Source organism: Homo sapiens, chromosome 3, assembly GCF_000001405.40.
Source record: "Homo sapiens chromosome 3, GRCh38.p14 Primary Assembly".
NCBI classification, from domain to species: Eukaryota; Metazoa; Chordata; class Mammalia; order Primates; family Hominidae; genus Homo; species Homo sapiens.
In genome coordinates, this window is record NC_000003.12 from 75,716,205 (window position 1) to 75,735,584 (window position 19,380).

The 19,380-nt window shown below is 41.3% G+C and overlaps 1 protein-coding gene across 11 annotated transcripts in view; it reads right to left on the reverse strand.

The window, feature by feature from the left end:
• Positions 1-19,380, reverse strand: part of ZNF717 (zinc finger protein 717) — a 90,849-nt gene that overhangs the window by 21,504 nt on the left and 49,965 nt on the right. For 7 of the 11 annotated variants that reach the window (XM_011533251.2, XM_011533249.4, XM_011533248.3 and 4 more), the window contains 2 exons: positions 15,856-15,917; positions 13,757-14,414 (listed from right to left, as the gene is read on the reverse strand). In XM_011533251.2, coding sequence (XP_011531553.1) covers positions 14,409-14,414; positions 15,856-15,917 — 68 coding nt within the window. In that variant the 3' untranslated portion in view covers positions 13,757-14,408. Of the gene's footprint in view, positions 1-175; positions 338-13,756; positions 15,918-19,380 lie in introns of those variants that run through there. The other 4 variants (XM_011533250.4, XM_011533246.4, XR_007090409.1 and 1 more) reach the window with 3 other exon arrangements.

The window sequence follows — 19,380 nt, forward strand, 5'->3', positions numbered from 1 at the left end:
TCTTGACCTCCTGATCCACCCACCTTGGCCTCCCAAGATAAGATTGTTCACAAAAATTTTAACCTAGACATGCAGATCAAAATATTAAACTAGGCATGCAGACCAATTTGAAAGTAAATTCACTAGAATATATGCCTCACAGACAGAATGTAAAATCTGTAGAAACCAAGACTAATCCAGAAAGACACTGATCTTTATTCCAGAAAGGACTTACCAGAAAAGACAAAAAGTCTTTTATCATCTCTGGAGGGATGTGTCGTCCTTCATTAAGGTAGCTTATCCAAACCAGTTCCCAAATGGTATAAAAAAGCCTCTACCAAAAGGAGGGAGGCTTAGCCTGAAAGAAGACAGGAAAAACAGGCAGGAAAAAACAAGCTGTGAAAGAAAGCAAGGAGCTCAAAGGGCTCAAAGGTGAGTACTGCACACTGGTTCTGGGAGTAATTCCTCTCAATCTTGGTTTCTGAACAAGAACTCAGTGAAAAAATAAAGTCAGCAAGATTCTTGGGGGTGGTAAATAATTATACTTTCTGTGGTTAGTTAGGGAGAACATCTGTGGGCTTTTGGGTTAAAGGACCACTGACATGAAAACCAGGGCAGCCTCTCCCAAGAATACTATGTTCCTCCTTGTCTTCTTCATTCACAGAGAGGATTCCCTTCATCTGAGAAAGCCAGTTTTCATCCAAAGGATCCACCTCACACAAGTCCAGGGTAATTACAATGTATTGGCAACACCCATTCACTATGTTGTACATTTTGAAAAAGCTATTAATTTCACTACATCTGCATTTAACAGTTCAGCACACAATTGCAGACACTGTGCAGTCTTTTTCTTGGAATGCTGGTTTCCTGGGCTCAGTGCTTTCTCCAGAGGTTTTGCACAATTTGGGGATTTTCTCTAAAGAATGGAGAAGGCTTTTTTTGCTAAATACAAAAGACAAGCTCTTGAGAGGAAAAATCATGTTTCTATATAAAAGTAAATGTGATTCCCAAAGGCCTACTTTGAAAGAAAAGGGACAAAACTGAGGTGTCATTCCAGACAGTGTGATAGGTATGTCAACAAATGATAGGTATGTCCAACAGACACATCCAAATACACGCTTCCTAAAAATGGATCAATATTTTTTTATTCAAGAAATCTCTGTGAGCTGCTTTCCAAATTGGCAAAATCAGTTATTTTGAACGGGTAGAAAATCTTCAAATTTTGAGGGTAAATTGGAAGTTGAAGAACAATCAAGTCATTCACAGCAGGGTCTGATAAGTCAGGAGGATGAATGAATGGAAAGAATGCTGTTGGTGTCCAAAGGTAAACCTGGCTTGCTTCTGGCAGGTGTCATCTAAGGCACATACAATGTGACAGCTTTGAAGGGCAGAGGGTCTTGACATTGACTCTCCACAATGATATGGAGATCAGTGTGAGTGCCGGCATGTTGACTCCTGGGAGACTACTAAGCATTTGCCACCTCTTCCAAGGTGGAGGCCCACAAAAAGGCTACAGAGTCATTCACAGGTGTTGGCAACTTCTAGCGTCAGTGCAGCTCTCCTTACCTGCACAGCTAGAGACACAGACAATATTGGCAATACAGTATTCTTGTGGGATTTGTTTGCTTCCAGCATAACAGATGAATTTTTCTCCAGCAAACACAACAATTCATTTTCAACAGGCACCAGTTCCTCCTAAATATGGATGATTCACCACGTCTCAGTGTGGGTTCCCCCAGGAGCAGAACTTAAGACAAAGATTTCAGTGCACGTAGTTTATTTGGGACTTGATCCCAAGGAGACTGGAAGCATTGGTCAAGGAGGGACAGAATGGGACAGGGAACAGGGAGAAGACAAAATAAGGATGTGTTGCCAAGTGAGTTACACTGCAGATGACTGGTGCTTACTCCCATGACAGAACTCTGGGGAGCCACGTCGAACATGGACCTCAGAGTTACACAGCCAGGGGACAACGGAACTGAGGCATGCATTCTCCAGTCCAGTCAGTAGTAGAAGGCTTTTCTGCGGTGGGGAATGGAACCCAGGCCAAGTGGGTTCTAGCTGCAGAGAAGGGGATACACAACCTTAGGTAAGAGGGTGCACATCCCAGCCATTGGATGTGGGGCTGGAGGAAGACATTCGGCTGGGCTCCTACCGTTTATACTTATTATACCGTTACGGTCAGTAAGAGACAGGTGGTGATGACGTTGTCAGTTAAGAATAGCCATCATTTGCTTAGTTAAGTGTGGAATTGTCCTGGGAGTCTAACTTACTAAGTTAATTTCACACTTAACTCCCACAGCCTGTCCACACCTAATTTCAGGATATATGTCAAAAGGAAAGAATAAATGTGATATACAGTTATATAAGTTACATCAGTGGTCCCCAGCCTTTTTTGGCACCAGAAATGGGTTTCCTGGAAGACAATTTTTCCACAGATGGCAGGGAGGATAGTTGCAGGATGAAATTTTTCCACCTCAGATCATCAGGCATTAGATTCTCATAAGTGCATGTAACCTAGATCCCTCACATGTGCAGTTCACATTGGGGTTCGTACTCCTATGAGAATCGAATGCTGCAGCTGATCTGATAGGAGGCGGAGCTCAGGTCATAATGCTCACTCAGCCACCACTCACCTCCTGATGTGCAGCCCGGTTCCTCAGAGGCCACGGGCAATACCTGTCCATGGCCCAGGGATGGGGACCACTGAGTTACATTATATATACTATTAATATCTGGCTGTACCAAAAAGTATTGTGAAAATATTTATAGTCCTGTTTGAGGGTCTTTTCTGAAGCTTTCCATTTACAAATAGAAAAGAATATTAAGGCCAGGCACGGTGGTTCATGCCTGTAATCACAACACATTGGGAAGCTGAGGCAGGAGGATCCTTTGAGCCCAGGAGTTTGAGACCAACCTGGGAAACATGGCAAAACCCTCTGTGTACAAGAAAATACTAAAATACACCAGGTGTGGTGTCACATGCCTGTGGTCTCAGGTACTTGGGAAGCTGAGGTGGGAGGATTGCTTGAGCTCAGGAAGTTGAGGCTGCAGTGAGTTGTGATTGCACCAGCCTGGGTGATAGAGTGTCACCCTGTCTCAAAAAAAAAAAAAAGAATATTAAAACAGATACTGTGGTTTCTATCTATCTTTTTGGTCCTCTCATAGCAAAAATCAACAAAAGAAACTAATGTATAACCTAGCAAAATGCAGCAAGCACTAGGAATTTTCTATTTCAGTGCCTTAGGCAATCTGACAGATAATGTAGTTCAAAAAAAGTGTTTGCTGTACTGTGAAATGTACATTTAGATATGCAGACAGCCTCTTGACACAGACATTGCTATAGTGGTTTCTAGCATAATTTAAGGCTTTTTGTTCTTGATTAACAGTGAGATGCCATCCGCCTCAGTGTGTGCCCTAAGAAATTAAAGAGATGCCAGGAAGGAAAAGTATTAATGAGGAGTACAAAATTCTACTTTAGAAAACATCTTGGCCAGATGCAGTGGCTCATGCCTGTAATCCCAGCACTTTGGGAGGCTGAGGCAGGTGGATCGCCTGAAGTCAGGAGTTCGAGATCATCCTGGCCAACATGATGAAACCCCGTCTCTACTAAAAATACAAAAAATTTGCTGGGCATGGTGGTGCATGTCTGTAATCCCAGCTACTCGGGAGGTTGAGGCATGATAATCACTTGAACCCGGGAGAAGGAGGTTGCAGTGAGCTGAGATGGTGCCATTGCACTCCAGCCTGGGCAATAAGAGTGAAACTCCATCTCAAAATAATAATAAATAATAATAATAATAATAATAATAATAACCACGGATTTTTGCAAGGCTACAGAGAAAAGGGAATGCCTATACACTCTTGGTAAGAATGTAAATTAGTTCAGCCACTGTGGAAAGCGGTTTGAAGATTTCTCAAAAAACAGAACTATCATGAGACCCAGCAATCCCATTACTGGGTGTATACCCAAAAGAAAATAAATTATAATTATTCTACCCAAAGACACATACACTAATATATTCACAATAGCAAAGACATGGAATCAACCTAGGTGCACATCAATGATGAACAGGACAAAGAAAATGTGGCATATGTACACCATGGAATACTATGCAGCCATAAAAAAGAATGAAATAATGTTCTTTGCAGCAACATGGATGCATCTGGAGCCCATCATCCCAAGCAACTTAATGCAGAAACAGAAAACCAACTATCACAGGTTCTCACTTATAAGTGGGAATTAAGTCTTAGGTACACACAGACGTAAACATGGGAACAATAGACACTAGGGACTTCAAGGAGGGAGGAGGGAATGGGGCAAGACCTGAGAAGCTTCCTATTAGGTACTATGTTCACTATCCTTTTGATGGGATCAATAGAAGCCCAAACTTAAGCACCATGCTATATACCCTTATAACAAATCTGCACATGTACCCCTGAATCTGAAATAATAAACAAAATAAAAATGTTTTATTAGTCTAAAACCTGTCAATATGACATAAAAATAATTATTAAGTTGGGCACAGTGGCTCATATTTGTAAACCCAGTGCTTTGAGAAGCCGAGGCAGGAGGATCACTTGAGGCCAGGAGTTCAAGGCCAGCCTAGTCAACATAGCAAGACCCCATTTTTACTAAAAAGAAAAAAAAGAAAAGAAAATACTCAAAATAAAAAGCAATCGCCTTTCTTACTCCTTCTTCTCTCTTCATTCCTACACCAGTCTTATTTTTCTAAATGAAAATAATTATCAATATTTATTAAGATTGTGAAATTCTAGTACTTTTCAATAATAAATATCAACTAATTGCATTGTTTTTAAAATCAATATTTTTAAAACAAATCAATATTTCACATGGCTATAAAAACACAAAATATTGATTAAAGTTTAATAAAAACATGAAAATAAATTATTTCAACTAAATATAAAGTTAATATAATTTAATTGAAGGAAAAACTACTTGAAAATAATTAAGGTTGTTCAGGTTCAAATCAACAAATTCCATGATCAACAATTTAAAATATTAAGGTCTGGTAAGTGATAGAATTAATGCCTAAATATGCCTAAATGACAACATTGCTAACTGATGTTTTTGTTTATTTATTTATTTATTTTTCAGATGGAGTCTTGCTCTGTCACCCAGACTGGATTGCAGTCGCACGATCTCAGCTCACTCCAAATTCTGCCTCCCACATTCAAGTGCTTCTCCTGTCTCAGTGTCCTGAGTAGCTGGGATTACAGGCGAGCGCCAGCACGCCTGGCTAATTTTGTATTTTCAGTAGAGACGGGGTTTTGCAATGTTGGCCAGGCTGTTCTTGAACTCCTGACCTCAGGTAATCTGCCCGCCTCAGCCTCCCAAAGTGCTGGGATTACAGGCGTGAGCCCCCACGCCTGGCCTGATGTTATTTAATTTTTATTTTAAAGAACAATCCCTAAGCAATTCATGGTGCTAAGTTCAAATAAGTCAAAAATAAAGCAAATAACTTTTTTTTCTGCAGGGCTTCACAATTTAGTTGGGATGAGAAGATTAAAAATAATAGTGATAAACCCTATGATAGAAAGAAAAAATGAAACTAAAGGAGTGTGGAGGAATAAGGTCTCTATTTTAATTTATGAGTTTTGCAGCCACTTTGTAGACATGACACTTGAATTTTAAATAAGTTAAAAGGAAAAAAAAATTGACAACTTCCAAATCTTTCTCTCTCACCCAACTTTATTCATATGTATTATTTCTATTAATGATTACATAAGAGAAATTAGGACTTCTAAATTAGTAAATATTTGCCGGGTGCGGTGGCTCACACCTGTAATCCCAGCACTTGGGGAGGCCGAGGCAGGTGGATCACAAGGTCAAGAGATCAAGACCATCCTGGCCAACACGTTGAAACCCCATCTCTACTAAAAATACAAAAAAAAAAAAAAAAAAATTAGCTGGGCGTGGTGGTGGGCGCCTGTAGTCCCAGCTACTCGGGAGGCTGAGGCCAGAGAATCACTTGAACCAAGGAGGTGGAGGTCGCAGTGAGCCAAGATCGTGCCACTGCACTCCAGCCTGGAGACAGAGCAAGATTCCACTTCAAAAAAAATTAGTAATATGCTTAAAAATAATAAATTCAGTTCATGCTAACAAAATAGTACTTTAAAATAAAACAAGTCCCCAAATAGTTTGAAGAGTTGTAATGTTTTTACATTTTTGCAAAATGTCTGGCTTAACTGAAGACAGCTTTATACTCATATCTGCTTCTGAATTCAATCTGTTGCAATATGTTGTTTTGACTAAGTGTGTGAAGAAAATAGTGCCCCACACAGACATGAGGTTGTAGAAAGGAAGAATAATTTAAAAGAATTTTTGGATGAGGTGTGGTGGCACATGCCTATAATCCCAGCACTTTCAGAGGCTGAGGCGGGCGGATCACTTGAGGTCAGGAGTTTGAGACCAGCCTGGCCAACATGGTGAAACCCCGTCTCTACTAAAAATACAAAAATTAGCCAGCGTGGTGGTGAGTGCCTGTAATCCCAGCTATTTGGGAGGCGGAGGCAGGAGAATCGCTTGAACCCAGGAGGTGGAGGTTGCAGTGAGCCAAGATTGTGTCCAGCCTGGTGACAGAGTGAAACTCCATCTCAAAAAAAAAAAAAAAAAAAATTTAAGTATTTTTGGCCAACTATTGTTCTTCTTCTTTGATCTCCAAAGAAATGCTTTATTCAGGTTATTGCAATGGGAGGCATGACACCACATCATATGCTTTTTCTGCTATATCACATTAAAACCTATAGGTCTATTTTCAATGTTAATGGCTCTTTTACCGATCATGATTTTTATCATATTGGCATGGCCATTGGGAAAATATTGGTTCATCGAATAATGCAGATGTTCCAAATATTGATACACTTTATTACAAAATATTTTGAAATTCAGTAATATTGCCCTTGATCTCCTCAGAAAAACCCGTGTTTTGAAAAATTGTCATGTTCAAGAACGCAGATACGTTTTCCATATTTTAATTTTCACTTGAAAACTTTTTACATTTTCAGTAACAGCTCAGTTATTTTTCTTTAAGACAATCTCACTTTTTTTTTTTTTTTTTTTCAGACAAGCTCTTGCTCTGTTGCCCAGGCTGGAGTGCAGTGGTGCAATCATAGCTCACTGCAACCTCTGCCTTCCAGGGCCAAGTGATCCTCCCGCCTCAGCCTCCCCAGTAATAGACTGTGGGCAGCAAGCCACCCAGGTGCCAACGCAAGAGACTGAGGGCAAGAGCTGTTCCAGTGTAATAAAGAAAATATATAGAATAAGAATACTTGTACTAGAAATAGAATATAGATGATGATATGTGAATATTAATAATCATTAGTTTGTAGCATTACTCTTTATTCCAATATTATAATAATCTCTGTTCTACAACTATAACCTAGGAAAAACCAGTCCATACAGAGATAGGAGCTGAAGGGACATGGTGAGAAGTGACCAGGAGACAAGAGTGCGAGCCCTCTGTCATGCCCGGACACAGCCACCAGAGGGCTCCCTGGTCTAGCGGTAACACCAGCGCCTGGGAAGACGCCTGTTACTGAGCAGACCTTGGTCTAGCGGTAGCTCTAGTGCCTGGGAAGGCACCGGTTACTTAGCAGATCGGGAAAGCGAGTCTCCCTTTCCCCGGGGGAGTTAGAGAAGACTCTGCTCCACCACCTTTTGTGGAAGGCAACATCAGTCAAGCTCGCCCGCAGCCATCCGGAGGCCTGTCTCCCTGTGATGCTGTGCTTCAGCGGTCACGCTCCTGGTCTGCTTTCATGTTCCGCCCTGTACACCTGGCTCGGCCTTCTAGATAGCAGTAGCAGAATTAGTGAAAGTACTAAAAGTCTTTGAAATGCATTGAAGAAATAATGGCGTAAGCTGTCCTCTCTCTCTCCCCACCTCGGCTGCCAAACAAGGAAGGGCCTCCAACCGGTAGACAGGAGACCCACGTGACCTTACCTATCATTGGAGATGGCTCACACTCCTTACCCTGCCCCCTTGCCTTGTATCCAAAAAATAACAGCGTGGCCAGGCATTCTGGGCCACTACTAGTCTCCACGTCTTGGTGGTAGTGGTCCCCCGGGCCCAAATGTCTTTTCCTCTATCTCTTTGTCTTGTGTCTTTATTTCTATGATCTCTCATCTCTGCACACAGGGAGGAAAACCCACAGACCCTGTAGGGCTCATCCCTACAGTAGACTACAGGCTTACATCATCACCCCTGGCTAATATTTTTTGTAGAGATGGGGTTTCATCATGTTCCTCCAACTGGTCGCAAACTCTTGAGCTCCAAAAGTGCTGGGATTACAGGTGTGAGCCACTGCACCCTGTCACACTTAGTTCATTTTTAAGTAATAAGTGCTCTATGAGTTCTTACCATTTTATCAAACAGAATACTGAAAAGACATACTTGGGGATCTAGATTTAATGAAAATTATATTTTTTACTGCTTCATCAAGGATATTCTTAAGTAACATGAAAATAAAATTGGCATGTTTATTTAAGCAACCACGTGAGTGTAAATAATAGAACTGCTACTATTGTTTGGAGCCACTGTCTTGTTTTGTGCTACGGTTTTACTTACTATTGCATTTGCACCAAAGCAGAGAACAAAAACAAGCGAAAAAGACAAGTAACATATCTGTATTATGATAGAAAGAGTATTATTTTCATGGAGCACTCTGAGATCCACTGTTCCAGGTATAGCTCTCTCCCAGACCCATCACACCTGTTCTGGCACAAAGTTTTATTAATTCTACTTCTTAAGTATTCTTCTACTCACTGCTTCCTCTCCACAACTTTATGACTCAGTGAAACCCTCACACTCTCTCATCTGAAATATTTCCATTTTCCATCATGTTCCCATCAGCCTGCACTCCTCGACTCAGTGAAACCCTCCCTCCCTCTCATCTGAAATATTTCCATTTTCCATGTTTCCATCAGCCTGCACTCCTCGACTCAGTGAAACCCTCACTCTCTCTCATCTGAAATATTTCCATTTTCCATCATGTTTCCATCAGCCTGCACTCCTCTCACTTCCCGTTATCTTGTTCGCTTCCAGACTATATCTCTAAACAGGTAACTGTGTTCCTCAAGGACTTAAAAGCACTTAACAACAGCTTAAAACTTAGGTTCTCACTCTTTAGCAAGGACTTGAAGACTTCTAATGATTCAGCTCCTGTTCACAAATCTAACCACTTTTTCCCACATCAACCCTGAACAGAAGCTAAGTTCCACTCATATACAAAATCTTTCAATTTTCCTGAATAAAAAAGATTATGTAGCCATCACCCATAATCTGACTCCAGAACTCTGTTTCTGCACCTTCCTGTCAAACTCATAATAAGTCTCCGTATTAGTCTATTCTCATGCTGCTAATATGGACATGCCCAAGGCTGGGTAATTTATAAAGAAAAATAAGTTTAATGGACTCACAGTTCCACATGGCTGGGGAGACCTCACAATCATGGCAGAAGGCAAAGATCAGGTCTTACACGGCAGCAGACAAGAGAGAGCATGTGTAGGGGAACTTCCCTCCATACAACCATCAGATCTCATGAGACTTATTCACTATCATAAGAACAACACAGTCCTCATGATTCAATTACCTCCCCCCAGGTTCCTCCCACAATATGTGGGAATTATGGGAACAACAATTCGAGATTTGGGTGAGGACACAGCCAAACCATATCAGTCTCATAATAAGGACCAAAGGCCAAGCCTTCCCTAAGTCGTCCTTAAGAGACTCATGCAGATTTCATAATTTGCTCCCAGTTGGGCCTTTTCTCAAGACCTTGACATTCTGATCTAGACTCAGATGGCTTTGTGGCTCATTATGAAACCCATCTGTGTTCTTACGCTAGACTCAGTAAGATAGCTACTCTTTCATCAATTCGTGTCATTATTTATTAATTCTTTGCATAACTGGACTTCAAAATAGGATTTTAAAATAAGTTTTGACCGTGTGCTCTTCACAATGAAGATCACTAGGCATTTGTTATGTGATTCTTTCTTTCCTATCATCTGGGAGAAAATAGCATTGGGCTGTGTGCCCTGAGAGGGAGGGCACATTTAGATATTTTAGGAGTTGTAAATAGAAGACCAAACATCAGAGAGAGAGACTTTGCTTCACCTGTAGTTCAAATATTTAGTTAGGACAGGCACAGTGGCTCATGCCTGTAATTCCAGCACTTTGGGAGGTTGAGGCAGGTGGATCACTTGGGCTCATGAGTTCAAGACAAGCCTGAGCAACATGGTGAAACTCTGTCTCTACAAAAAATAGAAAAACTAGCCAGGCATGGTGATGCACGGTATTATGAGGTTGCACTTCACTGAAAAACCAAAGTTGTTTAGCACTTCCATGTGAACCACACCATCTCAGAAGTATGAGGTGTAGCAGAAGTCCAGTCCCAAGGACACAAAGAAGACACACCATGTTAATGGAATGACATACTGCAGTGTATCTAGATAAACGATCCTGGGCCTTGATGAGAGAGATAGATGCAGTCTTGAAGGAACTGATTATGCAGTGATTCTGCATTTAAATATTTGACCTAATTTTAGTAACAAAAATGTATGCACCTTTCATTTTCAAAGTGCAGTTGTTCCTCAGTATCCGTGGGAAATCAGCTCCAGAATACCCCCACAGACACCAAAAACCACTGATGCTCAAGTCTTATATAAAATGGTATTTTGCATATAACCCATGCTTATCCTTCCATATGCAGTCATGTGCCTCATAATGAACATTTTAATCAATAATGAACCATGTATATTACCATGGTCCCCTAAGATTATAAACACATGTAGAAACCTTCTTGCGGGAAGTCAGAGACCCCAAATGGAGGGACTGGCTGGAACCGTGGCAGAAGAACATAAATTGTGAAGATTTCATGGACATTTATTAGTTCCCAAAATTAATACTTTTATAATTTCTTATGCCTGTCTTACTTTAATCTCCTAATCCCGTCATCTTCATAAGCTGAGGATGTATGTCGCCTCAAGACCCTGTGATGATTGCGTTAACTGTATAAATTGTTTGTAAAACATGTGTGTTCAAACAATATCAAATCTGATTGTAAAACATGGGTGTTTGAACAATATGAAATCAGTGCACCCTGAAAAAGAACAGAATAACAGCGATTTTCAGGGAATGAGGGAAGATAACCATAAGATCTGACTGCCTGCAGGGTTGGGCAGAATACAGCCATGTTTTTCTTCTTGCAGAGGGCCTACAGATGGACGTGTGAGTAAGAGAATATCACTGAATTCTTTTCCCAGCAAGGAATATTAATAATTAATATCCTGGGAAAGGAATGCATTCCTGGGGGTAGGTCTATAGATGGCCGCTCTGGGAGTGTCTGTCTTATGTGGTTGAAATAAGTACTGAAATACACCCTGGTCTCCTGCAGTACCCTCAGGCTTGCTAGGATTGGGAAATTCCAGCCTGGTGAATTCTAGTCAGACTGGTTCTCTGCTCTTGAACCTTGTTTCCTGTTAAGATGTTTATCAAGACAATGTGTGCACAGCGGGACACAGACCCTCATCAGTGGTTCTAATTTTGCCTTCACCTTGTGATCTTTATGGCTCTTTGAAGCATGTGATGCTTGTGACCTACTCCCTGTTCGTACATCCCCTCCCCTTTCAAAATCCCTAATAAAAACTGGCTGGTTTTGTAGCTCAAGGTCGCCATCATAGTCCTACCAATGTGATGGCACCCCCAGAGGCCAAGCTGTAAAATTTCTTTGTACTCTTTATTTCTCAGACCAGCCAACACTTAGGGAAAATAGAAAGAACCTACATTGAAATATTGGGGGCTGGTTCCCCCAATAAAACCTCACATGTGGGACTTGATACTAGCACTGCAGATCAAGTAGGGAAAGTGACTGATATTCAATGATGGTGCTAGAACATATGGTTTCTCCTATGAAAAAACATAAACATATACACCATCTAGGGTTATGTAACTACACTTTATGATGTTCACAAAACAAAAATATTGCTTAGTAAGCATGTCTCAGAACATACACATGTCATTAAGCCATGCATGACTGTACTTTATATCATCTCTGGAACACTTCGGTCAATCAAGAAAAATGACCAAGACAAATCTCAATCACTTTAGGAGGTTTATTTGCCAACGTTAAGGATGCACACCAAGGAGACAGGTCTATGCTTTTCTTCAAAAATGATTATGAGGGTTCCAAATTTAAAGGGGAAAGGGTGAAATATTGAGAAATACAGTTTTCATGTAAGACTGGGGTAAGGGGAAAACATTCATTGATACGGTTTGGCTCTGTGTCCCCACCCAAATCTCACCATAAATTGCAATAATCCCCATGTGTCAAGGGTGGGACCAGGTGGAAGTAATTGGACCATGGGGGCAGTTTCCTCTATGCTGTTCTCATGATAATGAGTCACATGAGATCTGATGGTTTTATAAATGTCTGACATTTCACTCATTGTCTGCTTGCACTCATTGTCTCTCCTGCCACCCTGTGAAGAGGTGCTCTCTGCCATTATTGTAAGTTTCCTGAGGCCTCCCCAGCCATGCAGAGCTGTGAGTCAATTAAACCTCTTTCCTTTATAAATGACCCAGTCTTGAGTATTTCTTCAGAGCAGTATGAGAACAGACTGATACAGTCATTCATGCCTTTGTCTCAGTGAATCTCATTTATACATAACATAGACAAACAGGGAGGGGGAACAATCAGATATGCATTTGTGTCAGGTGGGCAGAGGGGTGAGAACAGACTGCTACAGTCATCCATGCCTTTCTCTCAGTGAATCTGCATTTATACATAACATAGACAAACAGGGAGGGTGAACAATCAGATATGCATTTGTGTCAGGTGGGCAGAGGGGTGAGAACAGACTGCTACAGTCATCCATGCCTTTGGCTCAGTGAATCTCATTTATACATAACATAGACAAACAGGGAGGGTGAACAATCAGATATGCATTTGTGTCAGGTAGGCAGAGGGGTGAGAACAGACTGATACAGTCATCCATGCCTTTGGCTCAGTGAATCTGCATTTATACATAGCATAGACAAAGAGGGAGGGGAACAATCAGATATGCATTTGTGTCAGGTGGGCAGAAGGGTGACTCTGAGTTCTGTCCTATGCACTGTAAAGAAGAGCTATCAGACCAGGTGTGGCAGCTCACATCTGTAATCCCAGCACTCTAAGAGGCTGAGGTGGGTGGATCACCTGAGGTCAGGAGTTCGAGACCAGCCTGACCAACATGGAGAATCCCCATCTCTACTAAAAATACAAAATTAGCCAAGTGTGGTGGTGCATGCCTGTAATCCCAACTACTCAGGAGGCTGAGGCAGGAGAATCATTTGAACCCGGGAGGCGGAGGTTGCGGTGAGCCGAGATTGTGCCATTGCACTCCAGCCTGGGTGACAATAGCGAAACTCCATATCAAAAAAAAAAAAAAAAAAAAAAGGATAAGCTATCAATTTACATTGCTATGATGAATTTTAACAGAAACACTTTAAAGATCTTAAAGCACACCAGAAATTTCCTTGTGGGAAAAATATGATGGAGGGGGCTACAAGACAAAAAGCTTTTTATCTTGGAGCCATCTTATTTAGGAACCAAAAGAAGGAGGCAGGTTTGCATGACCGAGTTCCCAGCTTGACTTTTCCCTTTAGTTTAATGAGTTTGGAGTCCCAAGCTTTATTTTCCTTTCACACTTAGAAGACCAAATACAATGTGGATGTAAATAGTTGTGTTGTTTAGGAAATAATGACAAGAAAAAGTCTGAATATGTTCACTACAGATGCAAGCATCTGATTTTATTTCAAATATTTTGCATCCAAGTTTGCTTACATACACAGATATTAAACCTACAGATACAAAAAGCTGAGTGTACTTACAAATTAATAACTGTACACAGGCAGCATAAAATTCTCTTTGTACATGACAAAAACATTCCGTGTCCACCCAGGGTGAACACAGCCACTTCACAAACAGGGTGTAAATAAGGAGGTTCACTAAGTACAGGAAAGTTACAAGACCATATTGGCATTTTAACAGCCATTCCTGAGAAAGAGAATGGGAAAGGGCTTAAGAGTCAGAGGAGAGGAAAAGAGGAAAACAGATGACCTCCTACATCAGGAGATGGAGCAGTGAGAATACAGAATAGGGAAGCAATAGTTAAAAAAAAAAAAAGTAGAAACAGGATTTGATGTCAATTTGCTGTGCAAAGGGTAAAAAGGGGAGTTTTATTTCCAGGCTATCTGCCATGATCACAGCTAGTTTGTTACTGGTGATGTGAAATTTGGAAAAATAAAAGAACAATATGATGGCCAGAAGTGATACAGACTTGGACACATCATGTTTGAAATATCTGAGGTCCCATACGTAGGGATGTCCAATTGACAATTGGGAATACAGTTCCAGAGTTCACAAGAGAGATCAAACCTGGAGATAAAAGATTTTGAAACTATCAGAATTTCAATGGTACCTGAATCCATCAGACCAAATGAACCTAAGAGAATGAAAGGATAACAAGGAACAAGTACAGAATCCACAGAAATACTAATATTTACAAACAGAAATAGACTGTTAAAACCAAGAAGGAACTTTCTGAGTTTATTTCACAAATTAAGAAAAGCTCAATATTAGAAAGTCTACTAATACAATTCATCATATTCAGAGTCCTGAGGAGAAAAATCCTTTAATTGTCCACATAGGCATTAAGAAGATAAGTCTTAGAAACAGATTCCAGGTTCTGATTTCTGCATGTAAGAAGCTTAGAAGTAGCCAGGTGCAGTGGCTCATGCCTGTAATCCCAGCACTTTGGGAGACCGAGGTGGGCAGATCACCTGAAGTCAGAAGTTCAAGACCAACCTGGTCAACATGGCAAAACCCTGTCTCTACTAAAAATACAAAAATTAGGCTGGGCATGGAGGCTCACACCTGTAACCCCAGCACTTCGGGAGCTTGAGGTGGGTGGATCACATGAAGTCAGGAGTTTCAGACCAACCTGGCCCACATGGCAAAACCCCATCTCTACTAAAAATACAAATATTAGCGAAGTGTGGTGGTGTGTGCCAGTAGTACCAGCTACTTGGGAGGCTGAAGCAGAAGAATTGCTTGAACCTGGGAGGTGGAGGTTGCAGTGAGCCAAGATCATGCCACTGCACTACAGCCTGGATGACAGAGTGAGCTCTGCCTCAAAAAATTAAAAAATAAAATAATAATAATACAAAAATTAGCCAGCATGGTGGTGGGTGCCTGTAATCTCAGCTACTCAGGAGGTTGAGGCAGGGAGAATCACTTGAACCTGGGAGCCAGATGTTAAGGTGAGCTGAGATTGCACCACTGCACTCCAGCCTGAGCAACAAAGTGAGAGTCCATCTCAAAAAAAGGAAGAAAAAAAAAAAGAATGGAAGTAATCAGTCCACCTTAACAACACATGAAAAGCTGAAAAGGTCAGGTGTGGTGGCTCATGCCTGTAATCCCAGCACTTTGGGAGGCCAAAGCAGGAGGATCCCTTGAGTCCAGGAGTTTGAGACCAGCCTGTGCAACATAGTGAGACCCCCAACTCTAAAAAAAAAATTTAAATAAAACAAAAGCTGAAGAGACTGAAAAATCAACAATCCTTTTTGGATTTGAATGTGAAGAGAGGACATAGGGCAAACCACTGCCCCCAAGATTGGAGAGATAGAGAAGTGAATATGGGAATTTATGGCTTACAGGAACAGAGACTCACTACTGAAACCACCTTAGGAACCAGTGCTGGAGTAGAAAATCTTGAACTATAACTGGTGAATTGCTGAAGGTTCCATATGGACAACTCAAGGAGGTAAAAACACCAGGGAGATCCAGTTATGAGGGAGCATAATATTGTAAAATTTACCTCCTGGAGCTCCACCAGGCTCCTGTGGCAAATACCTGAGAAAACTTGCTTCTTGCTTCCACCTTTGGGAAGGAAAAAGGAAAACCATCTTAAAATATGCCAGAGCAACCTGTTCTTAACAAGGCTTATCCTCAGGAGAAATTACTGAACCTCAGCCTAACCTGCTCTCATATAACCAGATCCTAAATGACCTGCTGGAAGGGAAATTCCCAACTCCAGCCTACTCCAGTCATCCCTAAAGGGGAAGATAAAAACAGAGAAACACATGTGAAGTTCATAGTCCAAAAGCAGAGACTCACTTAAACAATGAGGCCCAGTCGTAAGACTCCAGAACTCTTCTGCTACAGTCTGAATATCTGTTCCCTGCTGGACCCCCTGCAAAATGTGCCTGTTGAAACCGAGTCTCCAATGCACTAGAATTAAGGGGTGGGACCTTTGAAAGGTAATGGCAAAGCCAACCTGATTGGGATTAGTGCACTTATGAAACAGGCCAAATGAAGCTTCTTTGTCCATTTCAACATGAGAGGACATATAGCTGGCACCATCTACGAGGAATGGGTCTCATCAAACACTGAATCTCCTGGAACCTTGACCTTGGATTTTCTAGCCTCTAAATTGAGCAATAAATTTCTGTTGTTTACAAATTACTTGCTCTAAGTTATGCTGGTGGATGGACTAAGACAGCTTCCCCTCCCCTCCACAGCTTCCCATCATTACTGGATGCACTGTTACAGTAGTTCCTTTTACCTGGTATCTCATATCTAGGAATAAAGAAAAAGCACAAGGCATACTAAAAGGCAAAAAACACAATTTGAAGTGACAGATCATCAGAACCAGACACACCTATGATATTGGAATTATCAGACAGGGATTTTAAAAAAAAATCTCTGAGTAGTATGCTAAGGGCTCTGATGAACAAAGGAGACAGCATTCAAGAACAGATAGGCAATGTAAGCAGAGAGATAGAAGTCCAAGGAAAGAACAAAAGAGAAACAGTAGAGATAAAAAAAATACTGCAAAAGACCTGAAGAATGTCTTTGATTGGCTTATTAGTAGATTGAACACAACAAAGGAAAGAGTCTCTGAGTTCTGGAAACTTTGAAAGAAACTTTAAAAACTGAAAAGAATGGAATGTAATATCCAAGAACTGTGGGACAGCTAGAAAAGGTGTAACATAGAGTGATGAGAATACTAGAAGGAAAAAGAGAGAAATAGAAGAAACATCTGCAACAATCATGTCTGACAACTTCCACTGTTAATGTCAGACACCAAACCAAAGATCCAAGAAGCTCAGAGCACACCAGGCAGGATACATGCCAAAAACCTACACCTAGGCATATTATTCTCCAACTGTATAAAACATCAGCTCCAAAAGAAACCAAAGGTGGAGTGGACAACATCTTACCTATAGAGAAACAAAGATAAGAATCACATTCAGGTTGAGCTCGGTGGCTCATGCCTGTAATCCCAGTACTTTGGGAGGCCAAGGTGGGTGGATCATGAGGTCAGGAGATCGAGACCACTCTGGCTAACACGGTGAAACCCCATCTCCACGAAAAAATACAAAAAATTAGCCAGGCGTAGGGGTGGGAGCTCATAGTCCTAGCTACTCGGGAGGCTGAGGCAGGAGAATGGTATGAACCCGGGAGGCAGAGCTTGCAGTGAGCTGAGATCACACCACTGCACTCCAGCCTGGGTGACAGAGCAAGACTCTATCTCAAAAAAAAAAAAAAAAAAAAAATTACATTCAACATCTCAGAACCATGAAAGTAAAAAGAGAGTGGAATGACATATTAAACATGCTGAGAGGAAAAAAAAAAAACCATCAACTAAGATTTCAGTGCCCTGTGAGATCTTCTTTCAAAAGTAAATGAGAAATAAAACATTCCCTGGACAAACAAAAGTTGAGGAAACTTGTTACCAGCAGATGTGTCATGTGAGAAAATATTAAACATTATCTAGAGGAAAAAAAAAGATACACATCTGAAAACTGAACCTACATTTTATTTATTTTTATTTATTTATTTTGAGACAGAGTCTCTCTCTGTTGCCCAGGCTGGAGTGCAGTGGCACATTCTCGGCTCACTGCAACCTCTGCCTCCCAGGTTCAAGCAATTCTCTGCCTCAGCCTCCCAAGTAGCTGGGATTACAGGAGCCCTCCACCACGCCTGGCTAATTTTTTTGTATTTTTATTAGAGACAGTGTTTCACCATCTTTGCCAGGCTGGTCTTGAATTCCTAACCTCATGATCCACCCATCTCGGCCTCCCAAAGTGCTGGGATTACAGGTGTGAGCCACCACACCTGGCTTGAATCTACATTTTAAAAAGAACATTAGAGAAGGAATAAGTGGTGGTAAAATGGGTTTTTTTTGTTTTTTTGTTTTTTTTGTGAGATGGAGTCTCACTCTGTCACCCAGGCTGGAGTGCAGTAGCGTGATCTCAGCTCACGGCAAGCTCTGCCTTCCAGGTTCATGCCATTCTCCTGCCTCAGCCTCCCGAGTAGCTGGGACAACAGACACCCACCACCACACCCGGCTAATTTTGTTTTTGTATTTTTAGTAGAGATGGGATTTCACCATTTAGCTAGGATGGTCTCAATCTCCTGACCTCATGATCTGCCCACCTCGGCCTCCCAAAGTCCTGGGATTACAGGCATAAGCCACCGTACCTGGCTGCTTTTTATTCTTAATTGACCTAACATATAACAGTTTGTATATAATAACAATGTATGCAATTATATATATATATATATATATATTTTTTTTTTTTTTTTTTTTTTTTTGAGAGAGTCTTGCTCTGTCACCCAGGCTGGAGTGCAGTGGTGCAATCTCAGCTCACTGCAACCTCCACCTCCTCCCTGGTTCAAGCAATTCTCCTGTCCAAGCCTCCCGAGTAGCTGGGACTACAGGCGTGTGCCACCACGTCCAGCTAATTTTTTGTATTTTTAGTAAAGATGGGGTTTCACCATGTTAGCAAGGAGGGTCTCCATCTCCTGACCTCATGATCCACCTGTCTCAGCCTCCCAAAGTGTTGGGATTACAGGCTTGAGCCAAGGCACCCAGCCAATTACATACTTTAATATATACAAGGCTATGTATGCTTACATATAAGTGAAACAAATGGCAACAATAACACAAGACATAGGAATATGAGAGAAACTGGTATTACATTTCTATTAGAAGGCAGTCGAAGTAACTGAACTGGTATAGTGTTATTTGAAGGTGGACTTGGATTTGTTGCAAGTCTATACTGCAAACTCCAGGGCAACTAGTAAAAACCAAAGTATAGAAATGCTAAAAGAGAAAACAGGCCAGGTATAGTGGCTCTTGCCAAGGTAGAAAGATGGCTTGAGTCCAGGAGTTAGAGACTATCCTGAGCAATACAGTGAGACCCTGTCCCTACAGAAAAGAAAAGGCCAGGTATTGTGGTGCATACTTGTAGTCCTAGCTAATTGCATACTTGTAGTCCTAGCTAATTGGGAGACTGAGGTGGAAGGATCACTTGAACCCATGAGGTTGAGGCTG